Source organism: Homo sapiens, chromosome X, assembly GCF_000001405.40.
Source record: "Homo sapiens chromosome X, GRCh38.p14 Primary Assembly".
NCBI classification, from domain to species: domain Eukaryota; kingdom Metazoa; phylum Chordata; class Mammalia; order Primates; family Hominidae; genus Homo; species Homo sapiens.
In genome coordinates this window covers 88,489,738-88,510,065 of record NC_000023.11, presented here as the reverse complement: position 1 = coordinate 88,510,065, position 20,328 = coordinate 88,489,738, and the positions used below count along the sequence as shown (strand labels likewise).

Genomic DNA, 20,328 nt, shown 5'->3' with positions numbered 1-20,328 from the left:
TTCAAGACAAAAGCAACACTTAGGCTCCTAAACTTGCAACAGAAAGAAATAGTCCATGAAAGCTGCTCAACACCTGATTCAAACATGGCCATAAAAGGTAGATTGAAAATCCTACTAAAAGAAAAAAGCATTACTTTAAAAAAGCCTAATTTGACCAAAAGAAAAAATAGAATCATTTGTAATAAAAAGTACATTGAAACTAATGATTTGACAAACGATTAAACATAAATGCATACATAAGAAACCAGAATTAAGAGCTTAATAATTTTTACAGTGTGCAGTACACAAACAAAAATAAATATTTACAGTAGTTTTACTCTTATCTGTGGGGAATACATTCCAAGACCCCCAGTAAATGCACAAAACCACAGATAGTACTGAACACTGTATATACTATGTTTTTTAATACATGAATACCTATGATAAAGTTCAATTTACAAGTCACCATAAGAGAAAAACAAGAAAAAATAAAAAATATAATAGTTATAAAAATATACTAAATAAAAATAATGTGAATGTGGTCTCTCCTTACATACAATATATATAATAATTTATATGTAATTAATATATTATATGTGTATATATAATTGTATTGTTCTCACCTATTTTTGAACTGTGCTTGTCTGAGGGTAACTGAAACACCACAGAAAGCTAAATCACAAACAGGGGAGGGATGATTGTAACAAGAACAATTAAGAAATAAGTACAGGATGAAAAATTCAACAAATGTTGAATATACATTACAGCAAGAGGGGTCCCACAACTTTGGCAAATGAGGTATTTAAGTACAGAATGACTTCAGATGTTGACTAAATGTTACAGCAAGGGAGGCCACACAACTTTGACAAATTAGTGAGTTTTTAAATAGACACAGCCTGAGTAATTTGTACTGCTGATTGAATAAATACACAAATCCTCAAATTTAGGGAGTCCAAATATCCTACACTGGAATAGTATAAAGAAATCTATATTGATATTTCTTATAGTTTAACTAAAGAACGTTAGAAGAAAAAAATATTAAAAGCAAAAGCATGTGACAAAAAGAGGAATTTCTGACACTCCTTATCCATGCCCAGAGACACTGAGCAGGTGGGAGGGCAAGTAGATAAATTCCAATACAAAAAGCAATCACCTAAGGAAGCACACTTTTTTGTCCAAAGTGGAGGAGAGGCCCAGTTTTAATAACTACCTGGAAAGGGTAGCTTCTGACAAGCTTGAGATACCCTTGCCAGAGGAAAGACCCCCGATGGCACTTGGTTCTTTAAATGTATTTCATTTCCTGGTGATATTTTTATTGTAATCTTTGTTTCAAGATCATCATAATTTCTCATTCAAAAGTTTGAACAATTTTTTGATAACATACTTTTACTGGTAATTCTAACATCTGTGTCATCTCTTTATTGGTGTCTTTTAATTGTTTGCACTTATTGATAGCCTGAGTAATTTTAAATTGTAGCCTGGAGATTTTGAATATTATATTCTGAGACTTTAGGTCTTCTTTACATCCTATACAGAGGGCTAATATTTTGTTTTAACAGACAATTGACATATATTTGGTTCAGGCTGTGAGTTCTTATCCACATTCTATGGGCTGTGGTTCAAACGTCAATTTTGTTTTCAAAGCCATTGTATTGTTTATATGATCTGTCACATGTAATCATTGCCTAGTTGTCAGTCTCCACCTGAAAATAAGATCTATGTGTTAGTTCTCAAAAACTGTGGCAAGAAAATTGAGATTTTACCCATGAATTAGTCTTAGGCAAGTTCAGGATTTTAAAAACAGCTTTGTGGGCCTGCTTTCCCAAAGTCCTCCCTCTCCTTTACATTCAGGTTCTCTTGGTCTCCCAATTTTGGAACTCTGACCAAAAACCATCCACTTCTGATATTATGTTGCATTCAGGCCATGTGGCAAGATGGCAGGGAGGTACTAAAAATAATTCAATAAGGTTTGGCCCAGCCATCTTGTAGCCACTGAATCCCTTCTGCCCTGTCAGTGTTTTCTTAGTGTTTTGACTTCTGCACACATCCTTCATCAGCTATGGTAACCTCCCAAGGAGTACATGGAAACTGAGGAATGAGAATAACACAGGGTCTATTATTGAGAATGATGCATGTGCTGAGGAGAATAATGTTTATTCTGCAGCCATGGAATGAAATGTTCTGTAAATATCCATTAGGTCCCTTTGGTCTATAGTGCAAATTCATTGCAATGTTTCTTTGTTGATTTCCTGTCTGCATAATCTGTCCAGTGCTGAAAGTGGGGTATTAAAGTCTCCAGCTATTATTGTATTGGCATCTATCTTCTTTTTTAGCTCTAATAATATTTTGTTTGTATATCTGGGTGTTCCTGGACCAAACTGAGGGCTGGGCTGCTATTTCTCGTGGCCCAGTAATGAGATGCAGGTGAACTGGGGAGAAAAAGAGTAAGAAGAGTTTTTGTTTTCTGCAACTGGTTACAGGGAGAAGGCCTGGAAATTATCACCAGACCAACTCAAAATTACAAAGTTTTCCAGAGCTTATATACCTTCTAAGCTATATGCCTACATGTAAGTGTGCGTTCATCTAAAGACATAAGGGATTAATTTCTTTTAACCTGTAACTAAGGCCTGAGTCTTGAAGACCTTCTTCTGGAGGCTCAGTAAATTTACTTAATCTTAATGGGTCTAGGTGCTGGGGTGATTACCCTTATCTTATCTCCTCTAAATCATAAAGGTTTGAGGAGTTTCTTTAGACCCCAATAAACGTATTTGTGGAAGCCTGGGGAGTTTCTTCATACCCCCAATAAAACTTGTTTCATCCTAAAAGGGTCCTGTTAAGAATTCCTTCATTATCTTGTCATGCTTCAGGGCCCAGGAAAAGCCTAGGCAAAACTCTTCGTGGGCTCTTTGTTATACAGTCCAGGCTTTGTAGAAGGGCACTGGCTCAATCAGCTTTAAATGTTTAACTTAGTTACACAGTAAGTACTGGGACTATTGTAATGGAGGCCTGAATTAGTGAGACCTGGCTGGCCACAATGGTGCTCCATTGTTGAGTGAATATATATTTATAATTGTTATATCCTCTTTCTGAATTGCCTTCTTTATCATACATAATACCTACTTTTACTCTTGTTATAGTTTTTGTAATGAATTGTATTTTGTCTGACATAAGTATAGCTACTATTGTTCTTTGATGGTTTCTGTTGGCATGGAATTTTTTTTTCATCTCTTTAGTTTCAGACTACATGTGTCTTTAAAGTGTGTTTCTTGTAGGAAACAGATCATTAGGATTTTTTTTAATCCATTCATCTACTCTATGTCTTTTTATTGTTTAGTCCATTTACATTCAATGTTACTGTTGATAAGTAAAGACTTACTCCTACCATGTTGTTATTTGTTTTCTGGTCTTTTCTTCCTTCTTTCCTTCATTTCTGTCTTCCTTTATTAAAGGTAATTTTCTCCAGTCATATGTTTAATTTCTTCCATTTTATTTTTTGTGTATCCATTGTATTTTTTTTTTAATTTGAGGCTACAATGAGGCTTGCAAATAATATCTCATAACCTATTATTTCATACTTCTGTCATTTAACACTGATTTCATAAATAAACAAGCAATAAGAAAACTAATAAAAACTCGATGCTTCAACTTCATCTCCCCTACTTTTTTTGTTTCTATTCTTATATTATTATACTCTTTATGCCTTTTACATTTGCTTTAGTTATAATTTTTGATAAGTTTATCTTTTATTCTTTCAACTGAAGGATATGAGTAGTTGACACACCCCAATTACAGTGTTATAATATTCTGTGTTTTTCTGTGTACTTACTATTACCAGTGACTATTGTACCTTCAGATGATTACTTACTGCTCATTAACATCCTTTTCTTGCAGACTAAATAAATAAGACCCTTTAACATTTCTTTTAGGACAGGTTGGTGTTGATGAAATCCCTCAGCTTTTGTTCATCTGGGAAATAATTTCTCCTTCATGTTTGATGGATATTTTCACTGGATATACTATTCTTACATTTTTTTCCTTTTTTTTTTTTTTTTTTTTTGAGATGGAGTCTTGCTCTGTCACCAGGCTGGAGGGCAGTGGCGCAATCTCGGCTCACTTCAACTTCCGCCTCCTGGGTACAAGCCATTCTCCTGCCTCATCCTCCTGAGTAGCTGGGATTACAGGAGCGCCCCACCATGCCCAGCTAATTTTTGTATTTTTGGTAGAGACGGGGTTTCACCATGTTGGCCAAGATGGTCTCGATCTCTTGACCTCGTGATCTGCCCACCTTGGCCTTCCAAACTGCTGGGATTACAGGCGTGAGCCACCATCCCCGGCCCTTAGATTTTTTTTCTCTTTAGCACTTCAATATGTCATACCACTCTCTCCTGGTCTGTAAGATTTCCACTGAAAAGTCTGCTGATAGACATATTGGAGCATCATTGTATGTTATTTATTTATTTTCTCTTTCTGTTTTTGGAATCCTTTCTTTGCCTTTGACATTTGGATGGTTGATTATTAAATGTTTGGAAGTAGTCCTATTGGATTAAATCTCCTTGGTGTTCTGTAACCTCCTTGTGCTTTAATATTGATATGTTTCTCTAGGTTTGGAAAGTTCTCTGTTATTATCCCTTTGAATAAACTTTCTGCCTCTATTTCTCTCTCTACATCTTCTTTAAGACCAATAACTCTGACATTTGCCCTTTTGAGGCTATTTTCCAGATCCAGTGGGCACACTTTCTTCTTTTGGATTCTCTTTTCTTTTGGCTCCTCTGGGCATGTATTTTAAAATCGCCTGTCTTTTAGCTCACTAATTCTTTCTTCTGCTTGATCAGTTCTCCTTTTAAGAGACTCTGAAGCATTCTTCAACATAATTGAATTTTATAGCTTCAAAATTTCTGCTTTATTCTTTCTGTTTTAATATCTTTGTTAAATTTATATGATAGAATTCTGAATATCTTCTCTCTGTGTGTTATCTTGAATTTCATTGAGCTTCAGCAAAACAACTATTTTGAATATTTTGTTTGAAAGGTCACATATCTCTGTTTCTCCTGGATTGGTCATTGGTGTCTTCATGTTTGTGAATGTTTATCAATATCTGGGCATTGAAGTGTTAGGTATTTATGTAGTCTTCACAGTCTAAGCTTGTTTGTATCCATCCTTCTTGGGAGCAATTCCCAAGTATTCAAAGGGACTTGGATGTTGTGATCTAAGTCTATGATCAGTGAAGCTGTATTTGCATTAATAAGCACTCCAAGCCCAGTAACGCTGTGGCTCTTGTTGACTCAATGAGTACCACCTTAATGGTCTTAGGAAAGATGAGAGAGAATTCTCTGAACTACCAGGCAGAGTATATTGTTCATTTCCCTTACTTTCCTCCAAACAAATGGAGTCTCTCTCTCTCTGTCTGTGTGTGTGTGTGTGTGTGTGTGTGCACGTGCGTGTAGGTGTGTGGAGTTGGGGAAGGAGTGCCACAAGCAACACTGTGGCCACAACCACTGGGACTGTGCTGAGTCAGACCCAAAGCCAGCACAGCACTAGGTCTTTCACCAAGTCCACAGTGGTCACTGCCTGACTAACATTTACTTTCGATCAAGTCCCAAGGGCTCTACTATTAAGTGGTGAATTCCACCAGGTATGTCTCCTTCCTTTCTGGGCAGTGCATCTCCCCTAGACCCTGCTTGGGTTCAGAGATATCATCTAGGAATCAGAGCCTTGATTTGGGAATCTTAGGAATCGACTTAGTGCTCTATTCTACTGTGACTGACCTGGCACCCAAGCCACAAGACAAAGTTCTTCCCACTCTTCCCTCTTCTCTCCTAAAGCAGAGGAATCTCTCCCAATGGCCACCATCACCCCAGGCCTATGGCAAATACTGCCTGGCTATCACAGATGTACACTCAAGGACCAAGGACTCTTCCATCAGATTGTGGTGAATATTGCAAGGCCTGAGTATCCCCCTTCAGTAAAGCAGACTCTCCTGTGGCCCAGTGAGAGCCTGCAAATGCCATCTAGGAGCCAAGGCCTGGAATCAGGAGTTAGATTTTTTTGTGGCCCATCACGTTTCTAGATGTGTCATCCAGGAAATAGGTCTTTGTGACTGGTGCCCTACCCTATTGTGTCTGAGCCAGTATCAAGAGGCAAGACAAAATTCTCCCCACTTTTCTCTCTCCTCTCCTCAAGTGGGGGAAGGGATCTCTCAGAACCTCTTTGAAAATTGTTGTTGTACTTTCATTAATACATTCCTATATAGCACACATGATTCTTATAATTTCTGGCATAGCAATAAAAATAATTTGATATTTTGCCTAAAAGTATTAGTAACATTTAGAAACCTTGATGGAGTTTCCACATGAACAAAGGTTTCATTTTAAAAGTTCAATAAATTGGTTAAGATTTGAACCATCATAAAAACTCTACCAAATGTCACAATAGGTAACAGCATATACTTCACCTAATATCATGAATAATGATTTTGGTGTACAATTATGAATATACTTTTGGTGTATATATATCTTTGCCCTTAACATTTATGTAATGCATTCCTATAGTCTCTTTTTTTTTCCCTGTTGGTCCAATTTATAATTTTGTACTTGTGACAAACCAAGACTGTACCAGAAAATATAATACACTTTCCTCTACTAAAAAGTAATTTGTAGTTAGTGATATTCTACACTATACAGTATTCTACACTAACAATCAGTTAGTTATATTCTACACTATAATGTTAAAATAAAAAATATCAATAATGTTTTTGTCTCGTTTTGTTGTCAGGGCGCTTTGAGAAAGAATGTGAAAAACATGGCAAATCTGTGGAACGCTAAGGAATTCCCACTTAACAAAGCTGAAGGTCACCACATTTGACAAAACTAAGAAAAGATCTAATATATAAAGAGAAACTATCATGGCCCAGGATATAAACTCAAAGTGTACTTACGACACAAAGTATTTTTTGAATTTATTTTAATGTCAAGTGTGAAGCAAAATGTCTTATTTTGAAGCACAATGGCTATAGATACTAATAGGATAAGAGTGATGCTTTGGAGTTTTTCCAAATGTGATTTTTCCAGTTTTGTTCTTTTAACTCAGTATAACTGTGGCTATTTTATATTTTGTGGTTTCATTTAATTTTAGGATTTTGTTTTCTGTTTCTGTTAAGAATATCATTGATAATTTGATAAGGATTGCATTAAATCTATAGATTGCCTTGGGTAGTATGAACTTTTTAACAATACTGATTCTTCTAATCCATGATCATGAAACATCTTTCCATCAACAGAACACAATCCAAAAAAGAAACCAATTAGCTATAAATAAAATTAAAAACCTAGGAATTACTTTAACAAGAGAAGTAAAATATTTCTACAATAAAAACTATAAAACACTGATGAAGGAAATTGAAGGGATTATTCTGCCAATTATTTAGAACTTATGTGCCAGGCCCTTTGCCAAAATTTTGTACTTACTTGACTTTAACAAATAAGACAAAAACAAATTTTAAAGGCCTAATACCCTCAGTTAGTATGTAGTGTAAATTAGACCCTATCCTTGATAACTCTATCAGGCTTCTAACATGTACTTTAAATTTTTCAGTGGATATTTACACTCAAGCCCATATTCTTAAATTCAATCTCTAAAAATTTAAGTAGTTATCTTCCATTCAAAACCTATGTCCTCATCTGTCTCACCCAATTTAATCTATGATAATATAATTTGGTCAAGTACAAGGCTCACAAATTAAAGATGTATTTAAATTTTCTTCTCCTTTTACCTTATCTTCCACACATGTATAATCAACCACCAAGGTCCGTTGTTTCTTCTTTCAAAACATTTTTTCTTATTTTTATGTCTACATTGCAGTACTACTACGACAACTGTATTTTAAACTGTATTTTAAATCAACAGATCTAAAATGATCTCTAAGATAATATCTACCTCTCCCTGATAAAAGAGTTTTTGTTTGAGGTGGAGTTTGTGGGAGGAAATTTGGTCAGTGAGAAGGGAAATATCCTTGTATTTAAAAATTACATTTGGATATTTTAAACACTGTCCTCTAAACTGCAGGTTGTCTCTAACAAACTTGTAAAATTTTACAGCTATAAGAAACCCTAAAAATTATCTAGTCTAACACCCTAATTTCTCAAATGAGAAAACAATTATATAGCAGTTAAATGACCTGTGTGGGGTCTTTCAATTTGTACAAACTTATCTAAATTGTATCTAATTTTCTTTCTTCTGCCTATAGGTCTTATTGTTTGGTTTCATTTGCAAGCTATTTGTGATGTGTGTATGTAAATGTGTGTGTGTCTGTATGTCTTAACATTTTGGTTCTTCTCATACCTCAAATCTAACCATTAATCATGGCCTCAGAAACTTCAGTTCTGAGTAAAGTTTATGCTTGACACTACACATTTTATTCTGTTCATTATATATTCTTGTCTCTGAATTAAACCTTCCCAGATAAAGACAGATTTCTGTAATTTCTACTTAATATCTCAAGCCTATAATTGTATTTTAGAAAGCATTTAATATACCGAAATGTATTTTTTGAACATATGAATGTTAGTTAGAAACCCATAGTTTTCTAAGGGTTTGAAAAATTAATTATCATAATTTTCTAAGCCATAAAGCTTAAACATAGAAATGTAAAATTTCTAGACATTCACCTTTGCCAGTGCCCCTTTTCTAACATTCATGAATTTCTCCCATGCATCTACAAGTTCTTAGAGCTAGTAAGTAGTTACTCTACAATAACCTCACTCATTTTCGGCACCCTAGGAAGCAAGATATTAGGTCTTATGTATTTGAATACATCAGGAATATTCAAATTACTTTTTTAGTAGATCTTCATATAGACTACTGTACCAGCATATTAGATAAATCAGATTAGTAGCTTCCCACAGTAGCTATAAGTTATAGGAGAAGAAATACAATAATTCTTATTCTTTTTTTTTTTTTTTTTTTTTTTGAGACGGAGTCTTGCTCTGTCACCCAGGCTGGAGTGCAGTGGCGCACTCTTGGGTTAAGCTTTTCCTACTGAGTCAAAAAAAAAAGCAAAAAAAAAGCAGTACAATGAATTTCTGACTATTGGACTTTGATATTTCCTATGCCATCATTTAACACATCAAAAATGACTTAACTTTGTATTTTCTGAGGCCTTTATTAAGTTGGTTAACTGTTTTAAAAAATCCTTCATCTAAAGAAAAACCTATTTTTCTTTGGCTTTAAAGTGGTGAATTAAAAAACTAAGATCACTGTCAATATTACTTTATCATATCCTAATGTCTACCATGTCTATTTATACATTTTATACTCATAAAAATCATGGTAAACTCATCTTCATTTCTTTATATTTTAAGGATTATTTTTACTTTATCAAAGATTTTAATAAGTTTAAATATTTATTTAATCCAGTTGCCACCTCTGAACCATGATTTTATTGATATGTTACATATTGATCTGGTAATATACTTCAGCTTTATTCATTGTGATTTATTTGTTTAGTCACTTGGTATATTAAGAAGCTGATTCTGTTTTTTCTGATGTTTACTGCAATGTACATTTCTAAATTCTTAATAGAAATATATTAAACTGCTATTACTGAGAGCATTCTTGGACTCAATACACTTGTAAAATTCATATACAATTTGATATTTTTAACTTACATTAATCTTCAATCTTCCATTTTTAATACAAAAAAATTACAATTTTTTTTTTACTTTAAAAAAATAACACAGAAGAAATTAAAGCCAAAATGAGCAAGAAGTTGTTCATATGTCCAATTAACACCACAGGAGGGGGATGACAAGTTAATTACCACTGTATCTTATATTTTAATTACATAAAAGTAATGAGATGCTCTTAAAACTAATAGAAGGATCAGCATGTTAAAAATAAGTTCCTTCAAAATATTCATGGACTTATACTCCAAGTAAAGTAAAATCCAGCTTTTCTAGAAAAGAAGACAAAAGGTTTACTAAGTTTATGGAAGGTGATATTAACTAAACCAAGAAAGGATTGCATTGTTGAGAGAATGTGTGGCATTGATACTTTCAGAGCAAAATGCTGACATAAAAGGGCAAAAGTTAAACCCGTATGCAAAAGCTAGGTCCTTAATTGTATTTTGGATTTCACTTAGTATTAAAAGGGTATTTTTTCTCATAACCTTTAAAAGCATGAAGGCAACATATATAGAGACTTACCTTGGGGAGATTAAATTATTTTGCATTACAGGGTTTTTATAGCGGTACCCCAACCTTATTTTGAACATCTTAAGATTGCGTTATAATATACAGCATCCAATCATATAGGAGAATGTGACGAAATACTACGGCCCATAAACTTTCTCACACTATGTACTTCTACTGCATTTTAATATGATCTATCTACTTTATTACTAAATCTGACACACTAAATTTTATGGTCTTCAGCAGTGTTGTTAGGATGACTGCCCACTAAATATGAACCTTAAGTGGAGATGTCTACACCTTGATACTGCATTTTCTTTGCTTCAATTAACTTTAGTGCTTACTCTGTTTCAATTAACTGTGTAACATCTGTTAATCAAGTCCCATTATTAATGCAGGGAATTTTTTTCTAAGACATCAATACATGTTTTTTAATATATAGTCTTAATCCTAGCACTTTGGGAGGCCTAGGTGGGTGGATCCCTTGAGGCCAGAAGTTTGAGAGCAGCCTGGCCAGCATGGCAAAACCCCCCATCTCTTCAAAAATTAAAAACAAAACAAAACAAAACAAAAATAGCCGGATGTGGTGGTGCATGCCTGTAATCCCAGCTATTCTGGAGGCTGAGGCAGGAGAATCGCTTGAACCCGGGAGGCAGAGGCTGCAGTGAGACGAGATCACACCACTGCACTCCAGCCTGGGTAACAGAGCAAGACTCTGTCTCAAAAAATAGTAATAATAATATATATATAGTGTTAAGCATGTAGATTACCATACAATGACATTAAAGGTGACTAGACAGAGCAAGCATTAAAGGGCCTAATAAACAATACTAACAGTAAGAATCATTTTTTGTGTTTTCCCAATATTCATAACCATTTTCTCCTCTCTCTTTTACTGTTAGAAGCCAAATTTTGTATGGGACAACATTGTACCAGTCTTAAGCAATGGATCAGAATTTATCATCTAATTCTAGGGGCTGGGCACAGTGGCTCATGCTTGTAATCCCAGCACTTTGGGAGGCCAAGGAAGGCGGATCACCTGAGGTCAGGAGTTTGAGACCACTTGGCTGACATGGTGAAACTCTGTCTCTACTAAAAGCGCCAAAATTAGCTGGGCATTGTGGCGCGTGGCTGTAGTCCCAGCTACTCAGGTGGCTAAGGCAGGAGAATCATGTGAAACCGGGAGGCAAAGGTTGAATTGAGTCAAGATGGTTCCACTGGCCCTTCAGCCTGGGCGACAGAGTAAACCTCCATCTCAGGGGGGAAAAAAAAGAGAATTTTTCTAATTCTATAAGAGCAATGTGTTACCCTATTTCTTAGGCTACATTATAGATATGAGGGTTCATGTGATCCAGTTCTAGAAGAAGTCTGCCAGTTGCCTTTGGACAAGTTTTGTATTTCCCAATTAAATTTTTAAAAATGTAATTCTTTTTTTTTGAGATGGAGGCTCGCTCTGTTGCCCAGGCTGGAGTGCAGTGGCGCGATCTCCGCTCACTGCAAGCTCCGCCTCCCAGGTTCACGCCATTCTCCTGCCTCAGCCTCCCAAGTAGCTGGGACTACAGGCGCCTGCAACCACGCCCGGATAATTTTTTGTATTTTTAGTAGAGACGGGGTTTCACCGTTTTAGCCAAGACGATCTCGATCTCCTGACCTCGTGATCCGCCCGGCTGGGCCTCCCAAATTGCTGGGATTACAGGCGTGAACCACCGCGCCTGGCCAATGTTATTCTTTTTTATTCTCCAGTTCTTCTGCACTGAATGCTGACACAATATCTAGAACTACAGCAGCCATCTTGAGATAAATGAAGGAAACCTAAAAACACCAAGAGACGCATAATAAATGCCAACAGTAAGTACTTCCTGTATTACATTGTTTTGTCTGTGAAAAAAATAAACCAATGTTGACTAAGCAACAGCAGTTGTTTATATTGATATGATTATTATTTACAACAAAAGACACCTCAAATATATATCTTTTCTAAACATAATGTATTAGCCAGCCTTTGGTGCAGTAATAAGTAACTCACAAATCTCATGAATTGTAGTAAACACATATTTATCAGTACTGAGTCTTTGGGTTGGCTATGATTCTATTTAACTCTCTTAATGTTGACTTGGTTTAGATTCAGGCTGAACAGAGTGCTAAGGTTTGCATGATGTGTTTTCCTATCCTAGTACCGAGAATGAATTAATGTCTGTTATATAAAACATTTTATTCTGCAGGTATCTATCAGAACCTCATGAGAAGTGCCAATAATTAGCATTTATTGGACATTTGTATATCACATTTGTTCATATGCCATTGCACAAACAAGTCACATACCTAAGCCTAACATTAATAGGGCATGAAAATATATTCATCCCACAGTAAAAGGGAAGAAAGGGGAGTGAAGATATTTTTAACAATATGCCCTTTACAACAAACGATTTTGAGAATAATTATTATAATTAATAATTATTATGTTATGTTATTCATCTTTATTTTTGTAACTATCAAATCTAATATTCCAAAAGTAAGTATCGAAGTATAATGCTTTATGAAATATTTTACAGAAAAATCTCAGTAAGCATGGTGCTATATCAAGAAAGAATTATTATCAACACAAGGAAATTAATGGCTATAATTGAGGACTAGTGAGTTAATCAACAAATATCACTATGCATATGAATGAGTATATACAGATTGTGTATTTCCATAAAGCTGGAAGAGATTGAGGTTGTCAATTTAAATATCCAATTTTTGGGGAAAAAAGAAACTAAAGTGAGTCACCAGTTCTCACCTTAAAAAATAGATATAGATTATGTCAAGAAAATTTTGATCCAAATGTAGAAGCTGAAGACATGCAAAGTTCTTTTATTATTGATGCCACTGCTTATTCCTAATAAGTAAGGTTATTGTAAATCCCTAAACATATAACTTTATTATCAGAAATTAAAATGTATCCAAATAGCTTTCTCTCTCTCTCTGTCTTTGTATTTCTCTCTCCTCTGCCGATATATAGAGACGCAGATATATAAATACAGATGTTTATATTTTTACATTTACATTTTTGTAATTATTTCTGTATTTATATACAGAGGTATAAATATAGATAAATGACAGTTAATGCAAACATGCTAAGTTTTGAGTACCGGCTTTACTCTTTTAACTTATATTTCATAAAATTCGTAAGAAGTATGGAGATTTAGCTAATCATTTCCTAAAATTATTGAAAAACCAAAGAAGCATAATGATATTTAAATATTTAAAAATCATCAATGTGTGGGCATTGGTCAATCACAAAAGAGAAAATGGTTGGTAATATAACATAGCTGCGAACATCAGATGAGCATCTAACCTCACGATTATTAAAGCACCATTTTCCCACACTCTTATTAACATACACTAGTGAAACAGATACTTTAGATATAGGAGTGATGCAAGAACCTCAAATTTGTTCAATTTCACATTTATATTCAAGCATTTAAGAAGAATAATTAGGTTAGGAACTAGAAATGGGTTATAAAGAGTACCTTGTTTTTGTTAATTGGTGCAAATGATATTTCATAATCAGAAATTAGAAAGCTTGAGTAAGGAAATTTAGTTAAGTTTTTGAAGGTTTAGATTTTTCATCTCAAGGTTTTATAATGTTGACAGTTAAAGTAATTTGGGAAGCAGCAGAAAATTATTTTACCTTTGGAAAAGTAAAGATAAACATAGGAACATGCAAGTATTGCAAGAAGATTATAGTTAATAATATCGTAAGCCCAACTAACAAAAATATTTTCCACAGGCTTGTAGAAAGTAGAATTAAGGCTCATATACAACCAAGACTACTTTATCTGACAACACTGTGCTTCAAAAATGAAGGAGAAATAAAGAATACCCCAGAAGTGTTTACAAATGCTGAGAAAGTACATTACCACCAGATTTGCATTACAAGAAATGCTGAAGAGAGTTCGTCAAGATGAAAGAACACTAAAGAACATCATAAAAGCATAAGAAAGTGAAAGTTTATTGGTAATAACAAACATATACACAAATGCAGAATATTGCTATAACAGCACTGCACAAGTCAATTTTATTCTAATACAGAAGATGAGAAAAGTATAAAAATAACTATAACTTAGGCATAGGTTAATGGATACACAATAGAAGATGTAATTTGTGATGTCCATAACATAATTTGGGGGCAAAATAAAAGAGTAGGGTTTTTGTGTACAATTCAAGTTAAGTTGTTATCAGCTTTAAAAATATATATATATATGTTAGATGTTTTATGTAAGCCAAATGGTAACTGTTATAAAAATTAATGTTTGTGCCTCCCCCCAAATTCATGCTGAAGACCCAATATCATGGTATTTGGAAGTGGCGCTTTGGGGAGGTAATGAGATCAAGAATATGTAGCCTTTGTGAATAGGATTAGTGTTCTTATGAGAGAGATGAGAGACAAATAAGAGAGACGATTTTACTTTGTCTCATGAGGATATATCAGGAAGGCAACTGACTATAAATCAGAATGAGGGCCCTCAGCAAGAACCCAGCCATGGTGACACCCGATCTCAGATTTTTAGCCCTAGAATGGAGATAAATAAATATTTGTTGCTTAAGCTTCCCAGTCTATGATAGTTTACTATAACAGGTAAGACAGTAACATCAAAGAAAATACTGATAGAAGATGCATAAAAGAAAATGATAAAGGAATCAAAGCATGTCACTAAAAAAAAAAAAAAGGAAACACAAAAGACAAAAAGAGGAAAAAAACAAAAAAGCTACAAGACAGACAGAAAACAACAAAATGGCTATAGTAAGTCCCTCCCTGTCAGCAATTGCTTTAAGTGTAGATGGATAGAACCACCCAATGAAAAGAGGAACGCAATGAATTTTTAAAATCCAACGATACATTGCTTACAAGAGATTTACTTTAAAGACACATGTATTGAGAACATTTGTATGTAGAATGTAAAAAAAATAAGAACACACATAGACTGAAAGTGAAAGCGTAGAAGAAAGGTACAGTATGCAAATGGTAGCCAAAAGGGAGCAGGGGTGGCCATACTTATACCAGACTAAATGGACTATAAACTTTAAGTCAAAAACTCTCACAAGAAATAAAGAAGACATTTATGTATATATATTTACATATATGTGTGTATATATATACATATATACATATATATACATACACACACATACACATATACATATATATAAAAGGTTTATTCACCAGGAAGATAAATTATATATATATGTATATATATATGTGTGTGTGTGTGTGTGTGTGTGTGTGTCTGTGTACCCTATAAGAGAGCACCCAAATATATGGAAAAAACATTGACATAAATGAAGGGAAAAATAGACAGTGATAAAATAATAATAGGAGACTTTAATGCTCCATTTTCAATAATGGATGGAACATTTGTATAGACTATAAATAAACGGAGAACATGAACAATATATAGATCAAATGGACCTAACAGACATATACAGAACATTTCACCCAACAGCAATAGAATACACATTCTTCTCAAGTACACATGAAACATTTTTCAAGATAGAGCACATTTGAGGTTACAAAACAAGTCTTAAAAGATTCAGGAGATTTAAATTATACCACGTACTTTTCTAACCATAATAGAATGAAACTAGAAGTAAATAGCGGAAGAAAAATTGGAAGCTTCACAAATATTTGGTAATTAAACATTATTGAACGAGGAGTGATTCAAAGAAGGAATCAAAAGTGAAATTAGAAAACATTTTGAAGCAAATGAAAAAAAAAACTTGCCAAAATATATAGAATGCAGCAAAATCAGTATTAAAAGGGAAGTTCATAGTGTTAAATGCTTACTTCTTTAAAACGAAGAACTATCTCAAATAAACAACCTAACTTTGCACCTCAAGGAACTAGTAAAAGAAAAAGAAAGATAAACAATAACAGAAGAAAGGCAATAATAAAGATTAGAGTAGAATTAAATAAATAAATAGAAAACACTAGAAAAAAATTAAATCTAAGTGTTGTGTTTTGAAAATATCAGAGAAAATAGATACACTTTTAGCTAGAATAAAAAAAAATGAGGGCGAAGACTCGTAAAAAAAATCAGAAATGAAATAGGAGACAACCAATCCCACAAGGAAAAAAATGATCCTAAGAAACTACTGCAAAGCATTATACAACAACAAATTTGACAGCCTAGAAGAAATACATGTATCTCTAGAAATATACAAACCACAATGACTAAACCATGAAAACAGTCTGAACTAGAAGAAGATTGAATCATTCATCAGAACACTACCAACAAGAGCCGAGGACAATATGGCTTCACTGGTGAATTCAACCTAATATTTAAAGAATTAACAACAATTCTCTAGTTTACGATTCTTCCACAAATTTGAAAAAGATGGAAATCTTCTAAACTCAATTGTTAAAGTCAGTATTACCCTCATGCCAAAGACAAAGACACTATAAGAAAGAGGAACTACAAGCAAATATCCCTAATGAACATGGATATAAAAATTCTAGAAAACCAAATTCCACAGCATGTTAAAAGGATTCTACACCATGATCAAGCTAAATGTATCACTGGGATATAAAAATGTTTCAGCATATGAAAATCAAACAATGTAATACAACACATTAGAAGAAAGAAGGATGAAGATCACATGATCATTTTAATAGATACAGAAAAAGCATTTGATAAAACACAAAAGCCATTTAAGTTAAATGCTAACAATATGGAGAAAAAAGAAATTTTCTCAACACAGTAAAGGCTATTTATAAAAAATCCACAACTAATATTATACTTACTGGTGAAGGACTGAAAGTTTTTCCTTATGATCAGGAACAAAGGAATAGCAACCAAAGGATGTCCATATTTGTCACTTCAATTAAGCAGAATAATATGAAGTCTAGCTAGAGCAATTGGCAAGAAAAATAAATAAAGGCATTTACATCGAAATGAAAAAAGTAAAATTATCTCTGTTCAAAGATGACATGATCTTATATATATAAAATTCTAAAATTCCACATAAAACTTGTAAAAACTAATAAATTCAGAAACTGTGCAGAATATAAAATCAACCTACAAAAAGTAGTTACATTTATGTATACTAGCAACAAAAATAGGTAAATAAAATTAAGAAAACAATGCAATTTACACCAACACCAACAAGAATAAAAACCTAGAAATAAATTTAACCAAGGAGGTAAAAGATTTGTACAGTAAAAACTATGAAATATTGCTGAAGAAAACTAAAAAAGACACAAATGGATGAAAAGACATCCTATGTTCATGGGTTAGAAGAATTAATATTGTTAAAATGCCTTATACTACCAAAAGCAATTTACAGATTCAATGCAAATTCTATAAAAAACCTAATGTTTTTCAATAGGACTCATTTGTTTTTCACAAAAATACAAAAAAATAATAATTCATGTGGAACCACAAGGGATGCTAAATAACCAAAACAGTTTTGAGAAAGAAGACCATAGATGAGGGTTTCCAACTTTCTGATTAAAAGATATATTACAAATCAGTAGGAATCAAGCCCGTATGATGTTGGCATAAAGACAGACACTTGATAATTGAAGTAAAACAAAGAGCTCCAAACTAAATCCATGGATATACTGTAAAACGATCTTTAACAAGGGTGCCAAAACTACACGATGGTGAAATGATATCTCTTAAACCAATGGTGCTGGGATACCAGATAGCCACTTAAAAAAAAGTTGGACCAGCCGGGCACGGTGGCTCACGCCTGTAATCCCAGCACTTTGGGAGGCTGAGGCGGGCGGATCACCTGAGGTCAGGAGTTCGAGACGAGCCTCAACATGGAGAAACCCCGTCTCTACTAAAAATACAAAATTAGCCGGGCGTGGTGGTGCATGCCTGTAATCCCGGCTACTCGGGAGGCTGAGGCAGGAGAATCGCTTGAACCCGGGAGGCGGAGGTTGCGGTGAGCCGAGATCATGCCATTGCACTCCAGCCTGGGCAACAAGAGCAAAACTCCGTCTCAAAAAAGAAAAAAAAAAAAAAGTTGGACCATTATTATAATCTCTGAAATAAAAGCATAGATAAAAATCTTTATAATACTGGCCTTGACAATGAATTTCTTGGATCTAACACAAAAAGTACAGGCAGAAAAATTTTTTAAAAAGTGGGACTATATCAAACCACAAAGCTCCATATAGCATAAAAAATAAGCAGCAGAGTGAAAAGGCAATGGACAGAATGGGAGATAATATTTGCATATGATGTATTTGATAAAAGATTAATATGCAAAGTATAAAAGCTCCTAAAAATCAATAGCAAAATCCAAATAATCCCATTTAAAATGAGCAAAGTACTTGGATAGCTATTTCTTCAAAAAGAACATGTAAATGACCAAGTTTATAAAAAGATGCTAAACATTACTAATTCCTAGGGTCTGAATATTTATGTCTCCCTAAAGTTCATATGTTAAAATTCTCCCACCCAAATTGATGGTATTAGGAAGTGGGAAGTTTAGGAGGTGATTCAGTCACGGGGGGTGAAACCCTCATGAATGAGATTAGTGCCCTTATAAAAAGAGTCCTGAGAGAAACCACTCACCCCTTCTTCCTTGTAAAGACAGAGAGAAGTCAGTAGTCTATAACCCAAAAGAAAGCCATGACCAGGACCTGACCATGCTGGCACTTGGATCTCAAACTACAGTCTCTAGAACAATGAAGAATTAATTGATAATGTTTATAAGCTATCCAGTTTGTGATATTTTGTATACCAGTCCAAATGGACTGTGACCCTAATCACCAGGGAAATGCAAATCAAAATTGTAATAACTGGTAGAGCCACCAAATGCACACACTTGGTGAATGCCTACCTGCCAAGACCTAATATCTGGCCTTCCTGGAGCCCCCCACCCTCAGCAAAGCCACACCAGTGCCTCCACAAATACCCACAGTCTAAGCAATTGAGACACCTGTAGACACTGCTGACACTGGTTAAAGACAAAGAATTTACACAGAGACTACACTACTGTGCATACCCAGAATTAAAGCCAAAGCACCCTACCCAACTGACACTATAGAACAAATTTACAGGAAAATGTCTTTTCCTGTGAAAGTTACTCCATAAAATTGAAAGAGGCAAATGCTTCATCAAGTGTGCAGACACCAACATAGTTACAAAAGAAATATAAAAAAGTAAGAAAACATAATATCTCTAAAGAAATATAACCACTTTCCAGTAACAGACACTTCAAAACAAGGTACCTATAAAATACTTGAAAGGCAGTGCAAAATAATGATCTTAAGGCAACTCTGTGAGATACAAGAGAATACAAATAAACAATTCATTGAAACCAGGTAAATAATTCATGACATGAATGAGAATTTATGCAAAGAGATATAAATCATAAGAAAGACCCAACAGAAATCTTAAAGCTAAATAATTCAATAGATAAAAAATACAATAAAAAGCATGAATAGACTAGATAAAGCAGAAAAAAATAATGTCTGAATTTGAAACTATGTCTTTTGAAATATCCCAGTCAGATGAAAAATAAAGTAAAAAGAATGAAGAAAGCCTGTAAGACTCATGGGACAATATTAAGCAGACAAACCTAACCATGACACTCAAGGAAATACAAATGCAAGAACAGTCCAAACCCAAAACTAGTAAAAGGAAAGAAATATTGAATAAGAGAGTAGAAATAAATGAAATATAAATTTGAAAAATAAATACAAAATATAAATAAAACAGTTTTTAAATGGTAAATTTAACAAACCATTTGCTAAACTAAGTGAGAAAAAAGATAGAAAACCCAAATAATCTGGACCAAGTGGACCTGATAGACATCTACAGAACTCTCCACCCCTAATCAAGAAAATATACATTCTTCTCAGCACTGCATAGCACTTATTCTAAAATTGACCACATAATTGGAAGTAAAACACTTTTCAGCAAATGCAAAAGAGTGGATATCATAACAAACAGTCTCTCAGACCACAGCACAATCAAATTAGAATTCAGGATTAAGAAACTCACTCAGAACTGCACAACATGGAAACTGAACAACCTCCTCCTGAATGAATACTGAGTAAATAATGAAATAAAGGCAGAAATAAACTTCTTTGAAACCAATGAGAACAAAGACACAATGTACCAGAATCTCTGGGACGCAGCTAAAGCAGTGTTAAGAGGGGAACTTA

General features: G+C 34.1%; 1 long non-coding RNA gene across 1 annotated transcript in view; it reads left to right on the top strand.

Moving 5' to 3' along the window:
* Positions 1-15,936, top strand: part of LOC107985713 (uncharacterized) — a 119,361-nt gene extending 103,425 nt beyond the window's left edge. Inside the window, exons 4-5 of the long non-coding RNA XR_001755911.2 lie at positions 11,907-12,011; positions 13,936-15,936. This is a non-coding gene — a long non-coding RNA (uncharacterized LOC107985713). The remainder of the gene's footprint in view (positions 1-11,906; positions 12,012-13,935) is intronic.
* The last annotated feature ends 4,392 nt before the right edge of the window (positions 15,937-20,328 follow it).